Below are 21,979 nucleotides of genomic sequence, written 5' to 3' on the forward strand. Positions count from 1 at the left end.
TGTTTGAATTAAGTTAGCTAGGGTTCAATTTTTCTTTTCTCCCTGCTTTTGGTTGTATTCGCAAGGAATGATAGGAAGTGGGGATGAGAGATTAATCATGGTTTTGAGGTTGCTTTTGGTTATTCTGTATATCATTCTTACGTGCTTCTGAGATGTCCTCACGTTTATAAATATGTGTATCATATAAATGTTTGTTTCATGTTTTATAAAATGTGGTGTGTATTTGTGATATGCTAATATTTTTAATTTAGAATAAATCACTCCAACAATGCAATAGTAAAACCCCCTGAGATGACACCTCAGGCTGCAGCTAAGGAGTTAGAAGAAGTAATGAAGCGAGTACGAGAAGCTCAGTCATTTATCTCAGCAGCTATTGAACCAGGTAAGTACATAACGTTGTTACATAGGTCATAGTTTAAAGATCATAGACTCTTAGAACTGGAAGGAATTTTAGAAATCATCTTGTTCAGTCACTTCATTTTACAAACAAGAAGACTGAAACTCAAGAAATAGTAAGTAGCATACTCATGTCAAAGAACAACTTAGCCCATATTTTATCTCTTTCTGTGATACTGAATTGAGGCACTTTAGTCTGAGCTAATCAGCTCTGTATTTTCATAGCAAAATCAGTGCTCACAAGTGATTTGCTGAAAGCAAAAATGTTATTGCAAGGCTAAAAAGAGTACATATATTTAAAACGTTACGACTCAGCAGGTTTACTTTTCCTCAACATTTTAATTTTAGAAGTAGAGAAGAGAGCCCGTGATTTAGAAAAAAATACAGATACTGTATTTTAGTAAGGTAAAAGAACATCTATTTAAACTTTTGTGTTGCTAATGAAAATAATTAAAAAACCCATTCTAAAAACATCTAGGTGGTTTACATTTGAGCAGATTTTCTAAATCAACACTTAGAATTTAAGCTTCAAATTCTAGCAGAATAAGTGGAGAAAGGACTTAAAATCACTGTCACAGGAATTACAGACATGTTGTAATCGTACGTTACGGCAGCAACAAAATATTACGAACAGCTGTTTATAATCATCTGGTTTATATGTACTGCTGCAGGGTGGCTGCACTCAACGAGTTTATGCAATGACTTTCTTGGATGTTTCTGAAGGAGGAGGATGTACAGAGAGTAGGCCCCTTGCACTATATGTGGTACATTCCACTTGTGCCTGATTATTAACTGGGATCTTTAATTGTTCTGAGCTTACACTGCAAAGTGATTTTTTCCTCCCAGAGTCTGGAAAGAGCAATGAAAGAAAAGGCGGTCGATCTCGTTCCCATACTCGCTCAAAATCCAGGTCTAGCTCAAAATCCCATTCTAGAAGGAAAAGATCACAATCAAAACACAGGTGAGAATTTCTGCTGTCATATTTAAATTTTATTTTAGTTTTGTATTTAAAATATTAAGATTTTATGAGTTTTCGTCAAAATATCAGAAGTTAGAAATTTTAGTAGTGTACACCTGAAGTGTGGTTACCTTTAAATATTGTTCTAATTGTAATACTGTAGTTGAGAATGAAATTTTGTCTAATGATACTTAATTTTTAAATATTTGAACTTATCTTTATTTTTAGAAGTTAGTTTTGTGTCTAAAGATACTCTATTCCAGATTTTTCTAAGAGTAAACTAGTCTTTATATAGAAGTGACAAAAGCTGTTTTCATTCTTCATATTGAGAAAAGGGAACATCCTTAGTGACCATGCTGAAAATAATTGCTCAAGTTGCAGCTTTTTTGTTTTGTTTTCCCAGTCTATTCCAAGTTTGGGGAGCACCACCCCAGATCTTTCACGCAATTCCCTATTTTCAGTACCACGTATCCAAAGGAACACTTTGAGTCCTTGGTATTGCTGGTGATAAGAGCCTCCTCTGCCCACTTTTGGACCTGAAACACAGGAGTAACTTGCAGTTTCAGCTTCAGTTTTAGTACTTTGCTTAAGCTCTGTTTATCTTATTTTTGATCATAGCTTTGTCCTTTTGATTTTCTTTATCTGTCATTTCTTTGTCTTTGGTATAAAGGGGACCTTAAAATGCAAATTTGGCAATACCATCCTAATTGGAAGTACCCTAAAGATCATTACTAAAGTTACAAATTTTGTTGTCTATTTTAAGGTACGGAGGGGGCTGTTTTTGAAATGTGAAAGTATGTATAGTGGATCCTAATTGCATGTTATGTGTACATACGTACTCCTATGTATGTCTTGAGAGAGCAGGGAGGGAAGAGTGTATCTGTGTATGTTGGGATTTTAAAGAAGGAGAAAGGATTTGGGGGAGGGAAAAGGAACCAGTTTGTTGTACATTGTTTTACCAGCAGGCTCAGTTTACTTTGTTTTTGTGTGTGTGTGTGTTGATCAAGGAGATTCAAAGAATGAGGAAAAATAGGATGTTCTTTCTTAGATTCTAGTAAACAAGTATACACCAGATATACTAGTGTATACTTGTCTATTCTTAGTTTGCAAAATCTCCTTTGGAATATGGTTTTACTGCGTTTATCCAAGGACTTACAGTAAGACACTTTCAGAACCAAGTGAAGGAGGTTGTTTCACATACAAGAATAAGGCAGTGCAGCAGAGGCCAGAATCAGGAAAGGACAGTGGAACAGAAGCTGCAGTGATACTAGACTGTGGATATTTCCATATGTTGACAGGATGTGGTGAGGGTAAAGGAGATCAAGGAAATAATAGAATTGGGCTGAAGAGTAATATTACAACTTCTTTTCTGAGGAAGACTGATGACCTGGATCTCATATTGTGTTGATTGTAAGAGAGAGCTAATGTCCAAGACTGGAACAAGACAAAACTTGATGATGAATAAAATTGTTGTTTCTTTGATCATCTAAGTGAAGTTTTATGTGCTTTATGTAGATATGTCTATACAGATGTACACACAATGTCTGCGTAGCATTAGAAATAATGTATATATATTCCTTTTTTTTCCCCCCCCAAGATGCAGTTTCAGTCCGTTGCCGAGGCTGGAGTGCAGTAGCTTGATCTCGGCTCACTGCAACCTCCACCTCCCAGGCACAAGTGATCCTCCCACCTCAGCTTCTCGAGTAGCTAAGCCACAGACACGCACCACCACGCCTGGCTAATTTTGTATTTTTTGTAGAAACGGGGTTTTATCATACTGCCCAGGTTGGTCTTGAACTCCTGAGCTCAAGCGATCCTCCCACCTTGGCCTCCAAAAGTGCTGGGATTATAGGCATGGTATACATGTTCTTAACTGACATATATACATACATACATACTTTTGTCAGCATATTCTGTTTTTGTGCATGCATGTGGAAACATGTAGCCTTAAGTTCAAGAACAAATACAAAAGAGAGAATGAGTTATCTTTAAATGAGAAAAAAAAAATTCCTTACCTAAAAACATTTAACTTAAAGATTCTGACCTGGAAGGATCCCACTATCCCCCAGAAATCAGGAAGGGAATGATAGGCCTTTCTTGACATTTCCTCCTCTGCTAGTGGGAGTTGTTGTCCTTGAATCTCACCCTGACCTATTAGACTTAGCATGAGCGTGGGTTGCAGGAACCCTTTAACTTAAAGGCCCACCTTCTACTTTTTCACCATTTTCAAATGCTTCTAGAGCCATGCTTCCTACCTCCCAACCCTCCCCCACAGCCTTTCCCTGTTCCTTCCGCTTCTTATGGTTAGAGAGAGGAAGGGGTTTCTTGTCACTGTGACCTTGGCTAGGACTAGGGAGGTATGTTTCCATTTTATCCAAGTTTTGATGCCTGTTTTATTTATTGAGACATAGAAAAGATGGATAGTACTATAATTGTTATAATTTTAAGTAACCTTTATAGATTAGAACAGGAACTGTAAGACATTTTATAATATTTTAATGGAAAACAACTGATTTACAAATGAACTTTGATGCAGCATAATGGTAAGTTGCTGGTTTTTTACAGTTTAATTTAAAAATAAGATTTTGCATTATTCAGAATAATACAATTTCGCATTAAAAATGAGAGTTAATGATAAATCTTTAGTTAGATTAGATCTGCTCTTGACTACTTCTAGCATTCTTAATCAGAAAACTACTAGTGGGTAAGATTGACGTGAAAATATTTAACGTCACAGTTAAAATGTAATAATTACTCTTAGTCACTGTCTTTTGACATCTCAATTGCAGGGTAAGGTTGGAAGCCAAGTGATCAGTGCTTTTTATTATTAACTTATTTATGAGAGTTATACTTAATTTTTAAAAATAAGTTTTGCTTAAGGTTGGTGGAAAGCATTGCTTTGAGGAAAACAAAAGAATTATATTTTTAGCAAGGACAACTTAAAACAGAAATCTTATAGTAAGACTTTTTATTAAGTATGTAGAAGCAAAGGCACTTTAAAAGATTACCCTATGTGGATATCTGTAAACGGACTAATAATGTTCTCAGTTTTGCAGTTTTGCCTTAACATCTACTCCTTAACTTTCATGGCTCTTAAGTACTAGTGATAAAGATTTCAGCAAGCTATGAATTATCTTCTTGTATTAAAAACATGGTATGTGATTTCTTATCTAGGGTCTTTGGAAAAAAATAAAATAAAAAATAATGTGGTATGTTGAACCAAGTGAGGCTAAAAAAAAAAAATATGGAATGAAGACAATTGTATATTATTTTTACAGCCAAATAGTAGATGAGTAGTTTAAATGGAAATTAGCTATTGAAATTTTGATTTGTAATGTTGATTAGTATTTTAATCAGAATTTTGACTAACTGAAAAATGTGTTTAAAAACAAAAGATTTTGTTATTAATGAGGATTATTTGGAGGTTTTTCTGGTTTCAAAGCATACCACAAAACATGGTCTTTTTCTTTTTTCTTTTATTTTTTTGCGATAGAATCTTGCTGTGTTGCCCAGGCTGGAGTGCAGTGGAGCGACCTCAGCTCATTGCAACCTCTGCCCCCCGGGTTCAGTTGATTCTCCCACCTCAGCTTCCTCAGTAACTGGGAATACAGGTGCATGCCACCATACCCAGCTAATTTTTGTATTTTTAGTAGAGACGGGTTTCACTATGTTTGGCAAGGCTGATCTTGAAATCCTGACCTCAAGGCAGGTGGACCTCAAGTACCACCTGCCTCGGCCTCCCAGAGTGCTGGGATTACAGGTGTGAGCCACTGTGCCCAGCCCAACTATATTTCTTTTACTGATAATTGTTCTAAATTTATTAAAACATGACTATCAAGATGAGTTTTAGCTGTATAAAGGATACTTATAGAAGTTCATTCAGCTTCCTTGGAATACGTACATAAGGATATAAAGTTTACATTTATGTTAACTTTTAATGATGATGACATTGAGAGTTAAGATTTTTAAACATTTATTTTGTGCTAGAGAATACTACGCAGTTTTACATACATCATCAGTTGTAATCCTCATGACAGCCCTAAGAGATGCAGGTATGATTGCTACTCCACTTTATAGAGGAAGAAACTCAGGCTTGGAGAGGTTAAGTGACTAGCCAGAGTTCTCACAGGTAGCGTGTGGCAGAGCTGACTTTCAGAGCCAGATTGTCAGACTCCAAAGCTGTTGAGTCTAATCACTTTGCTATTTAAGTTGTGTACATCTGTTTTGTTACAATTTAATAAGCAGTTAGGATACCTCGTTATGAAAAAAATCACATTCTCAAAAAACTTTTTCAGTGAGAAAGGGGGCCTAGTCCAAATTGGAATAACAGTTACTTTTCCTGCAATTAAACGTTTCCTGCAGTTAACAGTTTCTTTTCATACAGGTTGAGACTCACAAATTTGAAAATCTGAAATTCAAAAGGCTTCAAAACTTTTTGAGCGCTTTCGTGATGCTCAAAGGAAATGCTCACTGGAGCATTTTGGATTTTTCAGTTGTGTGTTTGGGATGCTCAACCAGTTTTATGCGTGTGTATATATAGAATGCAAATATTCGAAAATCTCCAAAAATGTGAAATTCAAAACACTTTTGGTTCCAAGCATTTCACATAAGGGATACTCAACTGGTAGCTATGATTATAGTTACAGCTATAAAATCAAGGCATTGCAAATCCAATATTTGATTATATCTAGTTTTAACTTATGAGTAATGATTTTTATTTTCCTGTCACAGTGGCGCTGTCATTAGGACTGTGCTTCCTTTTATATATTCTTTTTGTTTGTTATGACAGACAGCACACATTCACAGGAACTACTCAACCACGTAACCACTACTCCCTGTCATGATGTGTTATGACCAGATTACATGCAAGTCAACAGGGAAAAATCTTCTATACTGATTTGAGGCATAAAATGACTAGCAAAAGCCACATCTGAAAATATACGAAATAACTGTTAAATTCTTTGTTTCTGTCTCTGTTCTAGACAATGAAATATCCGGTAAAGTTTCCAGTAAATGTATTTCAGATTATGTAACTAAAGTATTATTTAAGAGAAATTTTTAAAATATTGTTAAATACTGTTAGGATAGATTTTAAATTTTCTTGTTTGAAAGATCGTAAATTAAGTTTTGATATTCTAACAATTTTTTTTCTTTAGGAGTAGATCCCATAATAGATCACGTTCAAGACAGAAAGACAGACGTAGATCTAAGAGCCCACATAAAAAACGCTCTAAATCAAGGGAGAGACGGAAGTCAAGGAGTCGTTCGCATTCACGGTGAGTTTTAGAGAAATTAACAATAATTTTTTTTTCCTCAGAGTTCTGTTAGTGCTAAGGGATAATATTTTAATTGGCTTCATTTGTTAAAAATCTGTTGTGGTTTAGGTTTTTAATGAGAGAAATTAAACCTTTTTTATTGTTTTAGTAATCTAGGATTAATATTGATTGCCAGTGATCTGAATCTGATGTCAGTGTGACTCATGAGGTTTCCAAACTACTCAGTTCAGCTTGCGTAGTATGAATAGCTTTGTTTAGCAGCTTCTTGTACACCTGAGCTATATAAAAATGTATATGTAAATGTCTGTAGGTACTATAAATTGTCTTGTGTTGGTAATTGTTGAAGAGAGAGAGGTCTTTTTGGAGGAGGTAGAACTATTTTAGTTATGAATTTATTTATTTTTGTTTTTAAAGGGACAAGAGAAAAGACACTCGAGAAAAGATCAAGGAAAAGGAAAGAGTGAAAGAGAAAGACAGGGAAAAGGAGAGAGAGAGGGAAAAGGAACGTGAAAAAGAAAAGGAACGGGGTAAAAACAAAGACCGGGACAAGGAACGGGAAAAGGACCGGGAAAAAGACAAGGAAAAGGACAGAGAGAGAGAACGGGAAAAAGAGCATGAGAAGGATCGAGACAAAGAGAAGGAAAAGGAACAGGACAAAGAAAAGGAACGAGAAAAAGACAGATCCAAAGAGATAGATGAAAAAAGAAAGAAGGATAAAAAATCCAGAACACCACCCAGGAGTTACAATGCATCGCGAAGATCTCGTAGTTCCAGCAGGTTTGATAATGCTTAAAATTTTTACAAAGGGATTTGCTGATGACAATTGGAAACAAAATTTTTTACGGAGGGAGAAAAGGTTACTGTACGCAAGTGGAACCTGTAAAGTAATATAAGAACATTTTCTCCTAATTTCAGAGTAAACATTTCTCTAGCAGAGTGGGGAAAGAGATGATACTGGGCAACATTATTTGAAGAGTTTTAGCTATTCTTTGTAACCACTATTTTAATAGAATAATAATAATTGTTATTTTCTTAGAGGGTGGGATGGCAGGGAAAGGTACTTTTTTTAAAAAGCACATTAAGAATTTGCGTCTTAGGCTTTTTCCTGAACTTTTTTTGAATGGTGTGATTAATTTTAATATGTAAAATGATTGCTGAAGTTGCAGTGTTAGCCCTCTTTGTCACCTAAGTTAATTTTTATCCTTATTTTGTTAAGTGCATAACATTTAAATTTTGGTCGTGTTTTATTTTGTCAGTTTTAAGGGTTAGAGTTTTTCCTTAGGACCGTGATTTCAGTTTATTAATAGCTTTACTACCACCAGGTGGCAGCAAGTTGCCATAGTAACAGCTGTACAATGAGAACAACTTTTGAGATTTAAGATTATCTAAACCCACATCCTTTACTTCAGATGATACCATGACTGTAAATGGAAGTTCCTAACTTATACTACACTATCTTAAAAATACTAAATATATATATTAGCAAATTTTTGAAGATTTTTAAAGATGGTTTTTTAATAGAAAATAATTTGAGATAAAGGAATATATGTTTCCCATTTTTAAAACTTGTGCTTTAGTAGTTTATTTTTAATACCAGCCTTTGACTAGATAATAAAAGATAATCGTAGACATTTATTGTGCACTTTACTGTATGCCAGACATGATGTCAGTAGACTTTTTCATGTCTCACCTTATTTAATCCTCACAACAGGCCTGGGAGAAGATTATTATCATCACTGTTTTAAAACATGAGGAAGCTGACGCTCTGTATGAGAAGTATAGTAGCCCTTTTCCTTTATTTTAGAGATTAAGTTTGAGAATTCTCTAGTACTTGTACTTACTTTTAAAAACTACCTCAGAAGCATAAAGTTGAAAGCAGTAGTATATGTTAAAACAAGGCTCAAAATAAACAGATCACTGCTGGATTTCAGCACATTGAACCACAGATTGAAGAATTAATGTAACCTCCTTTGCTGTGGGTACTGGTTTGAGCCTTGTAACCACACCTTTACTGCAAAGTGATTTTATTGATTCTGTGTCACACATGCCTTTGTGTTTCTGTGATTGTTTAGACATTACCTTTCACAGCACCAAATACTATTTTCATTCCTTTTTAATAACGAATTTACTTTTTTTGATGACATGGGAATGTTTAACTTTTTCTCGGGCCATTTTAAGTTGTTTGGTGTAGAGGAAAGTTCAAGTGTTCACATTCATTCCTAAATATATATGTATATATTTTTTGAAACAGAGTCTTGCTCATCGCCCAGGCTGGAGTGCAGTGTCATGATCTTGACCCACTGCAACCTCCCCCTCCTCGGTTCACGTGATTCTTGTACCTCAGCCTCCCGAGTAGCTGGGATTACAGGTGTGCACCACCATGCCTGGCTAATTTTTGTATTTTTAGTAGAGATGGAGTTTCACCATATTGGCCAGGTTGATCTTGAACTCCTGGCCTCAAGTGATCTGCCCTCCTTGGCCTCCCAAAGTGCTGGGATTACAGGCATCAGTCACTGCACCTGGCTCAAATACATTCTTCAGTAACAACTGGGGCCTTGAGAATAAAAGATGACTGACATTAGTTTATAAAGGCAGCAGTTTGGAATGTTTCATGCTTTCAGAAGAGCTTGGTAAAGAGTTACAATTTCTTTGAATTTTTTTTTTTTTTTTTTTTTTTTTAGACAGAGTGTCACTTTGTCACCCAGGCTAGAATGCAGTGGCACAATATCTGCTCACTGCAACCTCTGCCTCCTGGGTTCAGCGATTCTCCTGCCTTAGCTTCCTGAGTAGCTGGAATTACAGGCGTGTGCCACCACACTCAACTGATTTTTGTATTTTATTTAATAGAGATGGGGTTTCACCATGTTGGCCAGGCTGGTCTCAAACTCCTGACCTCAGGTGATCCACCCGCCTCAGCCTCCCAAAGTGCTGGAATTACAGACGTGAGCCGCCACCGCCCCCAGCCAAGAGTTACAATTTCTTGTCTTTTAGCATTTTTCTGCTTTTCAAATGTTCTGATTTGTTTACTAAATGGAGAATATTTTAACTGTTCAAAAAATAGTTAATATTTTTATTTCTAACATTGTCTCCTAATTTATACTTTTAAAGAAAATGATATTAAATAATTTTTTAATGCTTAAATTTACTGTCATTAAAGGTGATACCAAGAAAGGGAAGGAAAAAACAATATTTATTGAGCACCTACTCTGTGTCACACTCTATGCTTTGCACATTACAGATTTTATCCTAAATCCTCAACAACCTAATAAAACTTGAATTATTAATTGTCTTTATTTTTCAGTTGAAAAACAGATTAGGTTAAGTAATATGATCCTGGTTGTATAGCTGGGTAAGGTGTATAACTCAAATTTAAGTCTAAATCTCACCAACTTTAGTTGTTAATACAATTTCTTTCTCAAGTAATTGTCTAGATTGCTGTCTATGGAGACTTTCCTCTCATTATCGTCAGCTAGTAGGTATTAGACATCCACTTGTACATAGTGCTTTCTGAACAAATAAGTAAAAGAATTACACTGATAAAGGCAGAGCGATTTTGTGTAATCTTAAAGTCTGGAATACGCTGACATTCACATGCTTTGAAAAAAGTATTTTTGGTTCTTAGGCTGAGCTGTTAAGAGAATGTCATTGATGTAATCAAATAATGTATCTAATTTCCACATTAGAAGTGTAATTGTGGAGTGTCTTGGGAATAAAAGTGGGTAATGGAGGAGAGAGTCTTAGGTAGAGGTAGAATTGAGTTGTGTTCTCAGAGTTCTTGAGCTTTGTATTTTAATACATATTATATATACCGTGTGAGCATTTTTTATTTTAGAAATGAAAAACTTAAATTATTTTATTAGTCTCTTAGAATCAGTTTCCTGAAATGGTAAGGATAACATGAATTCCAGAGGATTTGGTTTTTTAGCTATGTGGTCACTGATTATCAGAACTTGTGAGATAGATCATTGGGTATGTCCTCGTACCATATCCCTTAAATTATAGACCTAGTGAAGTTCATTGTTTCTGAGTTGAAGTAGTTTAGAATATGTATCATTTGCTAATCTGATAAGCAAAATGGTTTTTAATAATAATAACGTAATCTATTTTATAATTATTCCTGTCATATTTACTTTTCAGATTGTAACTGTTTTGCTTACATCTAAGCAACTTGTACACTAAATTTTAAATTAATAGAACAACAGTAATGAAATGATAGGAGGTTGGAGGGAAAAGCAATTTCTCTCTAAAATGATAGTAATGTAAATGCTTTTTAAGTAGACATTGTTGATAATTGGGTATAGAAAGTTCACATTTTACAAGCCAGTTTATGTTTCAGTTTTTGAAAAGGGCCTGTTACTTTGTTATAATCCACAGTGGGGCAGCAAGGAGCTAGATACATGACAAAGGATTTGATAAGCAAAACTTGTTTTAGCTGCTGAGAAAATACACTTGAGAGAAGCAGAAACGCCACGCCATTAATATTTTTTCTACTGAAGAAATTGTTCAAATAAACGAGGTGAAAAGGAGGAGGTCTTCTACTCTTCCTAATATGAAGTCTTAGATGATGTTTTCATCAGTCTGTAAAATTTATGGTTCATAATTTGACCCACTCTAAAGTTAGGTAATTGAACATGCTCATAAAGGACATAAGTTTAAACTGGCCTCTAAAGAATACTGTTCATATGAGAATATCAAGGACCCTTTTGCTTTTGTATATTTGAATTGCCGTTTATTTCAATTGCTGTTTTTAAAAATGATGTGTTTTTGATTTTCAGGGAAAGGCGTAGGAGGAGGAGCAGGAGTTCTTCCAGATCGCCAAGAACATCAAAAACCATAAAAAGGAAATCTTCTAGATCTCCGTCCCCCAGGAGGTAGGTTGGGAGCTTGTGCTAAAACTAAACAGGAGAAAGCAATAAATATTTTTTGAAATTTTAAATTTCTCTCTTTATTTTTTAAACTTTATATTTTGAATGAATAATACATATGCATTATTCAGAAATTAAAGATAAAAGTTATGTATCAGGAAGTCTTAATTTCCACTCTTGCCCATCTACACTGTTCCCAGAAGTAATGACTTCGTGAGGTTTTTTTGTATATGCTTCCAGTTTCATATACAGATAACAAGATGAGAATGTATCATTTTTTTCTAATACAAGAAGCAACACAGAATACACACTGTTGTGCCCTTGGTTTTGTCATTTAACTACCAGGAAGTCTTTTTGTCACTTAACTTACCAGGTCAGAGAGAGCTTCTTCAATTCCTTTTTATAATTGCGTAGGCTTCCGTTGTATGGCCATACCTTAGTTTTTTAACTAGGCTACAGTAGAAGGGGTTTTTTGAATTTTTTTTACCATAAATTATGTAATGCTGTAATGAATAGCTTTGGACTTAAGTTGTTTTTAGTGTGCATGTGTGTAGGAAAAATCTCAAGAAATGGCATTGTTAAGTTAGATAATAAGCATGTTTGTAATTTTTGAGAGATATTTCCTAATTATCCTCTATAAGAGTTGGCAGCAGTTTGCACTCTTAATTATGAGAGAAGTGACCACTTCATAGATTTGAAAGCCATTTGTATTTCTTTTTCTGCGAATTGTCTGTATACTCTGCCCATTTTCCTGTTGGCCTTTTTGTTTCCTTTTCTATTTCCAAGAACTCTTTTATATTAGGGAGCTTATTGTTTAGTGATGTGATTATAAATAACATTCTCAGTTTGCTGTTTCTTTTAAAAAATTGTTTGTGAGACTTGATTTTACAAAGGTTTTTCATTTTTAAAATAACTTTCTCTTTTTCTTTTATGACTTCTTATGTGAGTCAAAAACTGATAAAAGGCTTTTCCTATTCCAAGATTATGATAGAACTTTCCCATTGTTCCTTCTTGTACTTTTATGGTTTTATATTTTGCAGTTAAATCTCTGGTTAGAGTCTTATTCTTGTGTACAATATGGCAAATGGGTTCAGTTTTATTTTACAAATGCTTCCGTGTTGTTGCAGTACCATTTGTTAAAAACTCAATTTTTCTAACATTAGTTTGATATGTTGCCTTTGTCATGTGCTGTGTTTTTCTGTGTGTTTGGGTCTATTTCTGGGTCTTCTGTGCCCTTGGATTGGTTTGACTGGCCGTTCATGTGCCAGTGTCCCACCCTTTTAATTATTGAGATTATACCGTATTTTTAAGTATTTGGCAAGGCCTGTTCTCTATACCCCTCATTGCTTTTTTGAGTATAGTTAGCTTTCCTTTCAGTGGTTATTTTTCTGCTTGAACATGAGTCAGTTGTCTGCATTCCAGAAATAAAACCTATTGATGATTTGTGTTACAGTTGCATTCGATTTATAAATTAACTTAGGGAAAATTGATAAACAGGTTTATTAATAAAGATTCATGATGACAAGTCGTCTGTCCAGGAATATGGTGTATCTGATGAGATCGGGCATGCTCAGGGTGATATGGCTGTAGACAAGGAATGTGGTATATCTTATTAGGCCATCATTAGTGTTTTCAGAAATATTTCATCGTTTGTTTCATACAGGCTTTATGCATTTCTTAATTCCTAGAAATTTTTGTTGTTGTTGCTGTTGGAAATGAGGTATTTTCTTTCATTATGTTTAATTGGAGGTTAGGTTTGTACATAGGAAAGTTATTGATTTCTGTATATTTATTTTTTTAATCCCACTGCCTTACTAATTGGTTATGGTTTTTTAGGTGATTTTCTGTGATTTTCCAGCAGAGGGGTCTTTTGTTTATTTGCTTATAGGTTTTTGGCTTTTGTGAGAATAACGGAAGGCTTAGGATACTATAGATGCAGGCCATGTTTGTATTTTTGAAACAAATACTTTACCCAGGAAAGTCAAAACTTTTCTCTTATGAACTGAAATTAGACAAAAAGATACATTCAGAAAATGTCACTCCTGTCTCCATTCCATCTGCCTTGTTCCCATTCACCCTGTGTAATTGACCAATCATTTGATTGTCTTTCCTTTGTTTCTCTTTGCGAAATGAGGCGGATACATATTCATTTGGTTTTATTTTCTCCTTATTGCAGTACATAAACAAATATTGAATATTCGAAAACTATTAAATAGGCTATGCCAAATAGTGTTTTATGAGAACATATGGTGGCCTCTGCCAAAATGACTTGTGTATCCTTAAGAAACTAACTGGGGTAAGGGTGGGGTAGGTCAGGTTGTAGGGCTCATTTATGTTACTTTGCAAACCAGCTTACTGTTGATGCTTATTAACAATGCATTATTTTAGATATCCAGTGTTAGAAAAGGATATTTTGTCAAGAATATAATAGATCTTACAATTTCTTAGAATTTAACTGACATATCAATATTCTTATAGCAGAAATAAGAAGGATAAAAAGAGAGAAAAAGAAAGGGACCACATCAGTGAAAGAAGAGAGAGAGAACGTTCAACGTCTATGAGAAAGAGTTCTAATGATAGAGATGGGAAGGAGAAGTTGGAGAAGAACAGTACTTCACTTAAAGTAAGCAGCAGTCATTCGGTGTCTGGCACTTGAAATGGTTCTTTATTGCATACAAATGGTTTTAGACTGAAAGCTCTTTGGGGAACAGTGTCTTGTACATTGTTGGCATTTTATGGCATTTTAAAATATTTAAAATATTTAATTGGTAATTTAAAAAAACTAAATGTTGAAGAGATAAGAGCCAATTAAAACTAAAAAAACTAAGTTAAATCCTAACATGGCATGCAATAAGAAAAATTTAAGAAATCAACAGTAACAAATGTATTTGATTTTATGTAGATAGGATTTCTGCCTGATGCCATTTTCCTCAATTTATGTTTCAGCAAGTTTGAAAAGACTTTGTGTAGTTAACATTAGGTTTGTTGGGTTAGAATACCTAATGGAAAACCACATTCCACCAAGTGAGCTTTTTTGTCACTTGGATAAATACTTCAAGTAGTTGTGAATTAAGTTACTTACACTGGTAAAGTATATTTGTATTTGGAAATTATGAATTTTGGAACATCTATCTTATAGTTTTATGTACTGTAATACTGATAGACGATTATCATCATCATCAATAACATTGATAACATTTATTAAGCATTTACGATGTGCCGGGCACTGTTTGTTCTCATTTAACTCTTTTAAATTGAGGGTAGAAATTGGAGTGCTCTTGAACAGCCTTTTCCAGGAGGCATAGTGACTTCCTTTTCCACATTTCCTTATTTTTGCTGCATTGGTTTGCAGATTAAAAATCTATCCTGGCATCCTTGGAAATTATTTCACTCTTTCAATAGATCTGTCTCCGTTTTTCAAGTCTGTCAGCAACATTTATTGAGCACTTGCTTAAAATTTCTGTTCACCAATTCTAATTTAATTTCCATGGATTGTCCATCTTTTATGAGAACACAAAGGGGAAATTGATAGTGTTTGCATATTCATTTTGTGTGAAAACGTAATGAGAGAAAATCATACCCAGTTTTTTAAATTTGCAAAAGATAAAGTTTCACATTTTTGTCGTCATAGCAGGCAGTTCTTGAGGAAAATATTAAATGCATACCTTAATTACTCATTGTAGGAGAAAGAGCACAATAAAGAACCAGATTCAAGTGTGAGCAAAGAAGTAGATGACAAGGATGCACCAAGGACTGAGGAAAACAAAATACAGCACAATGGGAATTGTCAGCTGAATGAAGAAAACCTCTCTACCAAAACAGAAGCAGTATAGGACCGACAAGTGTACCTCTGCACTCAATGCTGGAATCAAATCCAAAGCTTTTAATTCTCTCAACAAGATGTAAACAGGAAAGAAATCTAGTTGAGCATGAAGATAGGATCTAACAGCTTTTCCAGTTGTTAGATGACTTTGTGGCCATCTTGTTATTGAGTAAGAAAATAAAGCATGGACATCATGAAAATAACAGATGTTACCCAAACTCATCTTCTAAAATCTGTGCATTTCCATGGTGGCTGACACACTTGTCATGTGGTCTGTTAGTGTTTGCCAAGAACCATTGCAAATAAATTGAACATCAAAGATCCAAGTTTGTACTATCCCTAAAGACTGGAGATAAGCATTGGAGGCTCTTTTAAAAAATGCTAGTTACTGAATTTTGTATTGTTTTACTTTTTTTTTTATTTCAATATATACAGTTTGATGATGTGCTTGAAATTGGTGCAAATATATACACACCCTTGTAAGTGCAAAGTATGTAAGAAGTTTTAACATTTACTTCACAGGACTTGTGATTGTGTTAAATTCTCACTATTGTGTTTTCTTTTGCTCACTGTTTAGGACAATTTTTCTTTAAAATAGTTTTGCAGATTAAAATTGCTTAAATAAGTGGATTAAAAAACTGACAATGCATGCTACTGTTCTCTTTCAAAAGGAAGAGCAACCGTGTTGAATACTAATAATGATGAATTAGTATTCAGTGTTTAGAATCATTGGGACTACCCACAAAGTGAGCATTTCTTTTTAAATTTTCTTGACATTTCCAAGCTTATTATGAATAATATTGCAGTGTGTCTTGTCAGCTGTAGGTGGCAAAGGTGCCCTTATAAAAAAGGAAACTGGCTTTTCAAAATGGGCTATGGGAGCACAAGCTGAAGCTTTAGTGCCTTCTACAATGTGGTATACTGTTTTCTAGAATTTTATATGTGCTAGTCATTCTCAATTCATATGGAATCTAGATGGATATTTCATGCATACCCATAGAGAAGTGTGTAAGTGATATGTCAGAAGAGCTTCTTACTGATTTCACCTAAAATGAGAAGGAAGTCCTGTTTTCAAGAATGACATTAGAGTCATGCAGCTTTGGGACCATCAGTTTTATACTGTGATAATTGAAAATGAAACATGTTCTTATTTTCCTTAAATTGAAGAAAACCCTTTAGTTGTCTACATTGGATGGCCTTATTACCTCTCAATCATCTTTTCATAAATGATGTGCAGAAATTGTACTTAAGGACTTAGGAGTATATGGGAGGTTATTGGTTTTATGTTTAAGGATACGTTTACTTGAGTTTAAGATACAGGTCATCCATCATTCTTAGGCTCACTTTTTACAGAAAGTATGCAAATAGTAAAGTGACAGCACTGCTAATGTTTTTCCCCAGTACTATAACTTGTGGTTTCTGAACTCATTATTGTTGTATTTCCAAAAAAGTAATACCTTTTAATTAGTGTATTAAAAGTTAAGTATAATTATTTTAATGCAATCTAATACAATCAGATTACTCAGTTGCCTTACCTCATGGGAAGAGTTACTTTTTTAGATCTAAAAAGCTGAATAGCATGTTAGTTACTTGGTTTCAACTTGAGTTTTCTTTTAATGTTAATAAGATTGAAACTTTAGTATTTAGTGGGGAATGGAAAGAGTTGCCCTTGTTGCAAGTAATGAAGCCTGATTTGATTATGAAGCTGCTTAATCACTCTTCATGTGTTCAGAATTACTGTTTTTTTTGTTTGTTTTTCCTTTTTGTCACTGTGTACATTAAAATTTTGGAAGATGCTTTACTATGTAAAGTATAGATGGTCATTTTAATCATTCAGCCACATACGGTTGGCTGGTAAACAGCTTATTCTGATACAAGAATGCTTGGGTGCATATGGAAAGATTGTGAAAGAGTGTGTCTTGCATCAACAGCTGTCTTATTTATGATATATAAGTAGAAATAGAGCAAATGTTGGAATCTGTTATTTTTAGTACCATGTCTTTAATAAAGCTAAGTATTTTAGAGGAAAATGTTTGTTTATGCATTTCAAAAAAGCATTTTAGTTTTATCCTGCTCATTTTAGTTGTCATAGAGATTGTTGTGACGTGGAGAGTGCATGTTTGTGTGGTGTCTATAAAACAAGTCATTTAAAGTATGAGTGTTTTCTTGTACTCTGGACCTATTACATGTTTCTTTATGTTGGTAATTAACATTTAATTTGGTTCTTGCTGCTAATTATTTTCTCTGCTGATATTTATTAAGCTTTAAAATAATCGTACTATAATCTTGAAACACTGATTTGTAAAAACTAAGAATGAGTAGGAATACAAGAGATCTGGAGGAACAAATCAGATTGTTATTAGGGTTTGACTTTTTTTTTACATGGGCTTATGGAAGCAAGGCATTCTAGGGTCTAGAGGGATGTGTGTGTGTGCTTGTGTGTCCATGTGTGCGCATGCGCACGTGTGTATCTGTTTGAGACATACTTTCTCTGTTCACTTAAAAGAGCTCATGTTTTCATTTGTTTATTCTTTTCTTTCAGGGTATTTTGTTTTTTTCTTTAAGACTTCTTTTTTTAAATCCCAGGTAGATGTTGTCAGATAAACTTGAGGTAAGGCCAAGAAGACAGACATTTTATGCTTCATACTTTCTGTAATTATCTTTTGTAGCTTGATTACATAGAGTACCCTCTCTTCCTTAAGTTGTAGTTGCTATTTATCATTGTAGACAAATTCTGTTGCCTTTCAGCAACGTATGCTGAACTAGTATCATAAGATGGTGCATCAGTTCATAAGCTAGTGCATAAGTTTTGTGTCAAAACTTTTAAATCCTGAAGTTCTGCAGTTATCATCTTAGTTATTTTCTATCTAATTAGCTTATAATTGCAAACACTAGTCAGCTTGTGATCTCTGTGTTTCAAGTTCTTTTCTTCACGAGGTTCAGTACCTGCTATGTTGATCTTTGGCAGTGCCAGAGGCTTAAATTTTGACCTGCTCAATTAAAAATAAACACTGGCGTTTATAATGAAAAGGTTTTTTTGTCGGGGGGGGGGGGGTCAAGAGAATTTATTTTGTGATAGTAATAATTTTCAAGACCTTCAGTCATTCCTATGTCTATGTTGCTATCTTTATTTTAAAACTTAGAACCCTGATCTAACTCCCTTCTCAAGTGAAGATACTGTGTAGATTCAAGAATTATAATGTAGAGTAATAGGCCTTTAAGTTTTTTTTTAATCTGTTAGAAATAAAGAGCATGATTTAATTATTGTTGAATTAACAATTAAAATGAATCCCTTTGGAGGGATGGCATTGAATAACTTATAATTTCAGTGAATCATTTACGTTTTCATTGGAAGACAGTATCTGATTTCAACTGGTGCGTTACGAAGTAGAGCCATTCCCACAAAGTAAATGTGCAGTGCCCATGTTTCTTGTGTTTAAATATTTTTTATTTTCACTACATATATATTATTTTCTCATGTTTATTTACTAATGTAATTTTCACTTAAAATTAGATGTTTATTTTCAAATTTTAAAAGCTAGTGCTCTTAAAAGAGCTAAATTATATTTCTGGAAGCAGGAGTTTAGTATAAATGTAATAAAATTTTAAAATAAAATTGACTTCCCTACTTAATCTTGGGTTTGTGGGTGAGTTTGTTTTTAGTACACTCTTATTGGTGGTTTTGCCTGAAGAGTAATACATTATTATTATTACTTTTCTTTTTGAGACAGGGTCTCACTCTGTCACTCAGGCTGGAGTGCAGTGACACGATCATGGCTCACTGCAATCTTGACCTTTCTCGGCATGGATGATCCTCTCACCTCAGCCTCTTGAATAGCTGGGACCACAGACATGTGCCACCAAGCCCAGTTAATTTTAGAATTTTTTTTGTAGAGACAGGATCTTGCCATGTTGCCTAGACTGGTCTCAAACTCCTGGGCTCAAACAATCTGTCTGCCTCAGCCTTCTAAAGTGCTGAGATTACAGGTGTGAGGTACTGCACCTGGCAATACGTTATTTTAAAAGTAAACGCTAAGCCATTTATGACTTTGGTTATATTCAGTCAGTTGGATTTAGTAACTAATAACTAGCTTTCTTCCATTCTAAGGTACTTTTATAGTTTCTAGCAATTAGTTTGTTACAATTAGCTTATATCAGATATAACAGTTCTTAATATAATGTTTATAAAAGGTTTTAAGTCTGTTGCCTGATTTTTAAATTTATATCTAGTTAACATTTTAATTTTAAAATTGCCAACTTTTGGGAGATTTCACATATTTTACCTCTATATTTTATTTTTCCAGGATTGGTATGGAGGAGTAGTACCTTCTATTCTTGGTTTATTTTTATTTGCTAGACATAATTTCTTAACTACATATGTAAGTATAAATTCATAAAAATCACACTGAAAGAATAGGTTGATTTCAACCATTTTGAGGGTACTGGTAGGTAACACACTGTTGGGGAATAAACTAAAGAATTTCTGATTTCTACAATAGATTTAAGTATGAAATTTGAGTATACTGTGTAGCTGTGTAGATCAACTTAATGCTTAAAAAATTACCTCCTTAATGATTAGATTAATAGAACAGTGTTAGATTATCAAGGGAAGAGTTTGGAATGTAAACATAAACATGCTGCATAGGTGGTGGTTATTTGTGAGTAGGACTACTTTTAAATGGTACTAGTAAAGATTTATCAAACAATGCTGCTATTATGTTGCTATATTTTTAATAAAATGAAAATCTTAAAATCTTGCCACTGTTGAGTAGTAATTTCACCTATTTCTGGAACAGTTATTTGCATATTTACATCTTATTTCTATAACTGAAAGGTGATAATAGGCTTTTCCAGGGTTCAAGATTACTACCAAAAATGGAAGGTTTTGCATACGGGGCAATCTTCGTGTTTTGTGGCAGTTAACTCCAGTCAAGGCTTTTCATATTAAACATTGTGCAGTATCCAAGTAAGTGATAGCTGCTCTCTGAATCTCCCTTCTCCCCAGCCGCCACAAATTCAGCTTCTTGCTAGGATATTTGTACAATGAAAACTATCACTTTGTCTTTTAACAACAGGTGGAATGCCTTCTCCCACTTATAAGAGGTGTAACTCTCCATTTGGTGAATGAGCTGTGTGCTCAGGGTGGTCACTTAGGTAAGACAGCCTATTAGCCTATTAGTCTAAAAAAAAAAATTACCTGTTAGATAAATTTAGAATCCTGCGTGACCTGATTGGCTTAGCTGGCCTAGAGATGTTGAGGCTATGTATATTGATTTATCTACATAGGCCATCTATCTTAGCTGCCTTCTGTGGCTAAAGGCCATGAGCCATTTTGGTTTTCTTTTCTTTTTTTTTGTTTTCTTGGTTTTTTTTTTTTTTTTTTTTTTTTTTTTTTTTTTTTGGAGACAGAATCTCACTCTGTCACCCAGGCTGGAATGCAGTGGTGCTATCTTGGCTCACTGCAACCTCCACCTTCCAGGCTCAAGCGATTCTCGTTCCTCAGCCTCCTGAATAGCTGGAACTACAGGTGCCCGACACCACGCCCAGCTAATTTTTGTATTTTTAGTGGAGATGGGGTTTTACCATGTTGGCCAGTCTGGTCTCAAACTTCTGGCCTCAAGCGAGCCCTCCACCTTGGCCTCCCAAAGTGCTGGGATTACAGATGTGAGCCACCGTGCCCAGCTGCCATTTTGGTTTTCAGATGTGTTAAACTGCATGTGTAGGGGTGGGAGAGCAGAGGCCTTTAAAATGCACCCCTTGCCAGTAGTGGGTTTGTGTGTGTGGCGTTCTCCACAGGACTTCTTGAAAGCAATGCCAGCTTAGAGTAGGAGCTGCTTTGAACAGCAGACTTCTACCAAATCGTAATTACTTAAGGAGTATCATTATAGTAATTTAGTTTTTATAATTATCATTTTCTTACCTTGGGAAGAACATCCTAAGATTTGCAGAAAAGTATCTCTTTTAAAAAGTATACTACCGTATTTAATGTAGGAATAACCACAATTGATGAGAGGTGGTAAATGGAATCAATTATATAGGCATGACCTTCAGTACCATGTTTCCCTCTCTCCTGAGCTTCAGTCACCTTTTCAACTATCTGACACTAAGAACTCACTGAATATCAGCTATTACAATACTGGGTATCTTACTAGCACCCTAAACTTATCTCATTCCAAATAAAACATTGAGTTTTCAATCCCAAGTGTATCCCTTTACTGTTTATTGTCTTTCACCAGCACTACCATTTTTCTAATTGCACATTGCCATCATTACAGGCATACATCTTTTTTTTTTTTTTTTTGAGATGGAGTCTCACTCTGTTGACCAGGCTGGAGTGCAGTGGTGCAATCTTGGCTCACTGCAACCTCTGCCTCTTAGGCTCAAGCAATTCTCCTGCCTCAGCCTCCCGACTGGCTGGGATTACAGGCACGCACCACCATGCCGGGCTAATTTTTGTATTTTTAGTAGAGATGGGGTTTCGCCATGTTGACCAGGCTGGTCTCGAACTCCTGACCTCTGGTGATACACCCTTGTTGGCCTCATACCGGGATTAAAGGCATGAGCCACCGGGCCTGGCCGCATACTTCATCTTCTGGCACTTTGCAGATACTGTATTTTTACAAATTAAAAGTTTGTGACAACCCTGCATCTGGCAAGTCTG

General features: G+C 34.8%; 1 protein-coding gene across 13 annotated transcripts in view; it reads left to right on the forward strand.

Moving 5' to 3' along the window:
• SREK1 (splicing regulatory glutamic acid and lysine rich protein 1) overlaps positions 1-20,075 on the forward strand; it is a 39,316-nt gene extending 19,241 nt beyond the window's left edge. For 7 of the 13 annotated variants that reach the window (NM_001323527.2, NM_001323534.2, NM_001077199.3 and 4 more), the window contains 7 exons: positions 252-382; positions 1,243-1,357; positions 6,511-6,630; positions 7,045-7,407; positions 11,406-11,501; positions 13,974-14,118; positions 15,179-20,075. In NM_001323527.2, the coding sequence (NP_001310456.1) occupies positions 252-382; positions 1,243-1,357; positions 6,511-6,630; positions 7,045-7,407; positions 11,406-11,501; positions 13,974-14,118; positions 15,179-15,328 (1,120 nt within the window). In that variant the 3' untranslated portion in view covers positions 15,329-20,075. Of the gene's footprint in view, positions 1-251; positions 383-1,067; positions 1,358-6,510; positions 6,631-7,044; positions 7,408-11,405; positions 11,502-13,973; positions 14,119-15,178 lie in introns of those variants that run through there. The other 6 variants (NM_001270492.2, NM_001323529.2, NM_001323535.2 and 3 more) reach the window with 3 other exon arrangements.
• The last annotated feature ends 1,904 nt before the right edge of the window (positions 20,076-21,979 follow it).

This window comes from Homo sapiens, chromosome 5 (assembly GCF_000001405.40).
Source record: "Homo sapiens chromosome 5, GRCh38.p14 Primary Assembly".
NCBI classification, from domain to species: domain Eukaryota; kingdom Metazoa; phylum Chordata; class Mammalia; order Primates; family Hominidae; genus Homo; species Homo sapiens.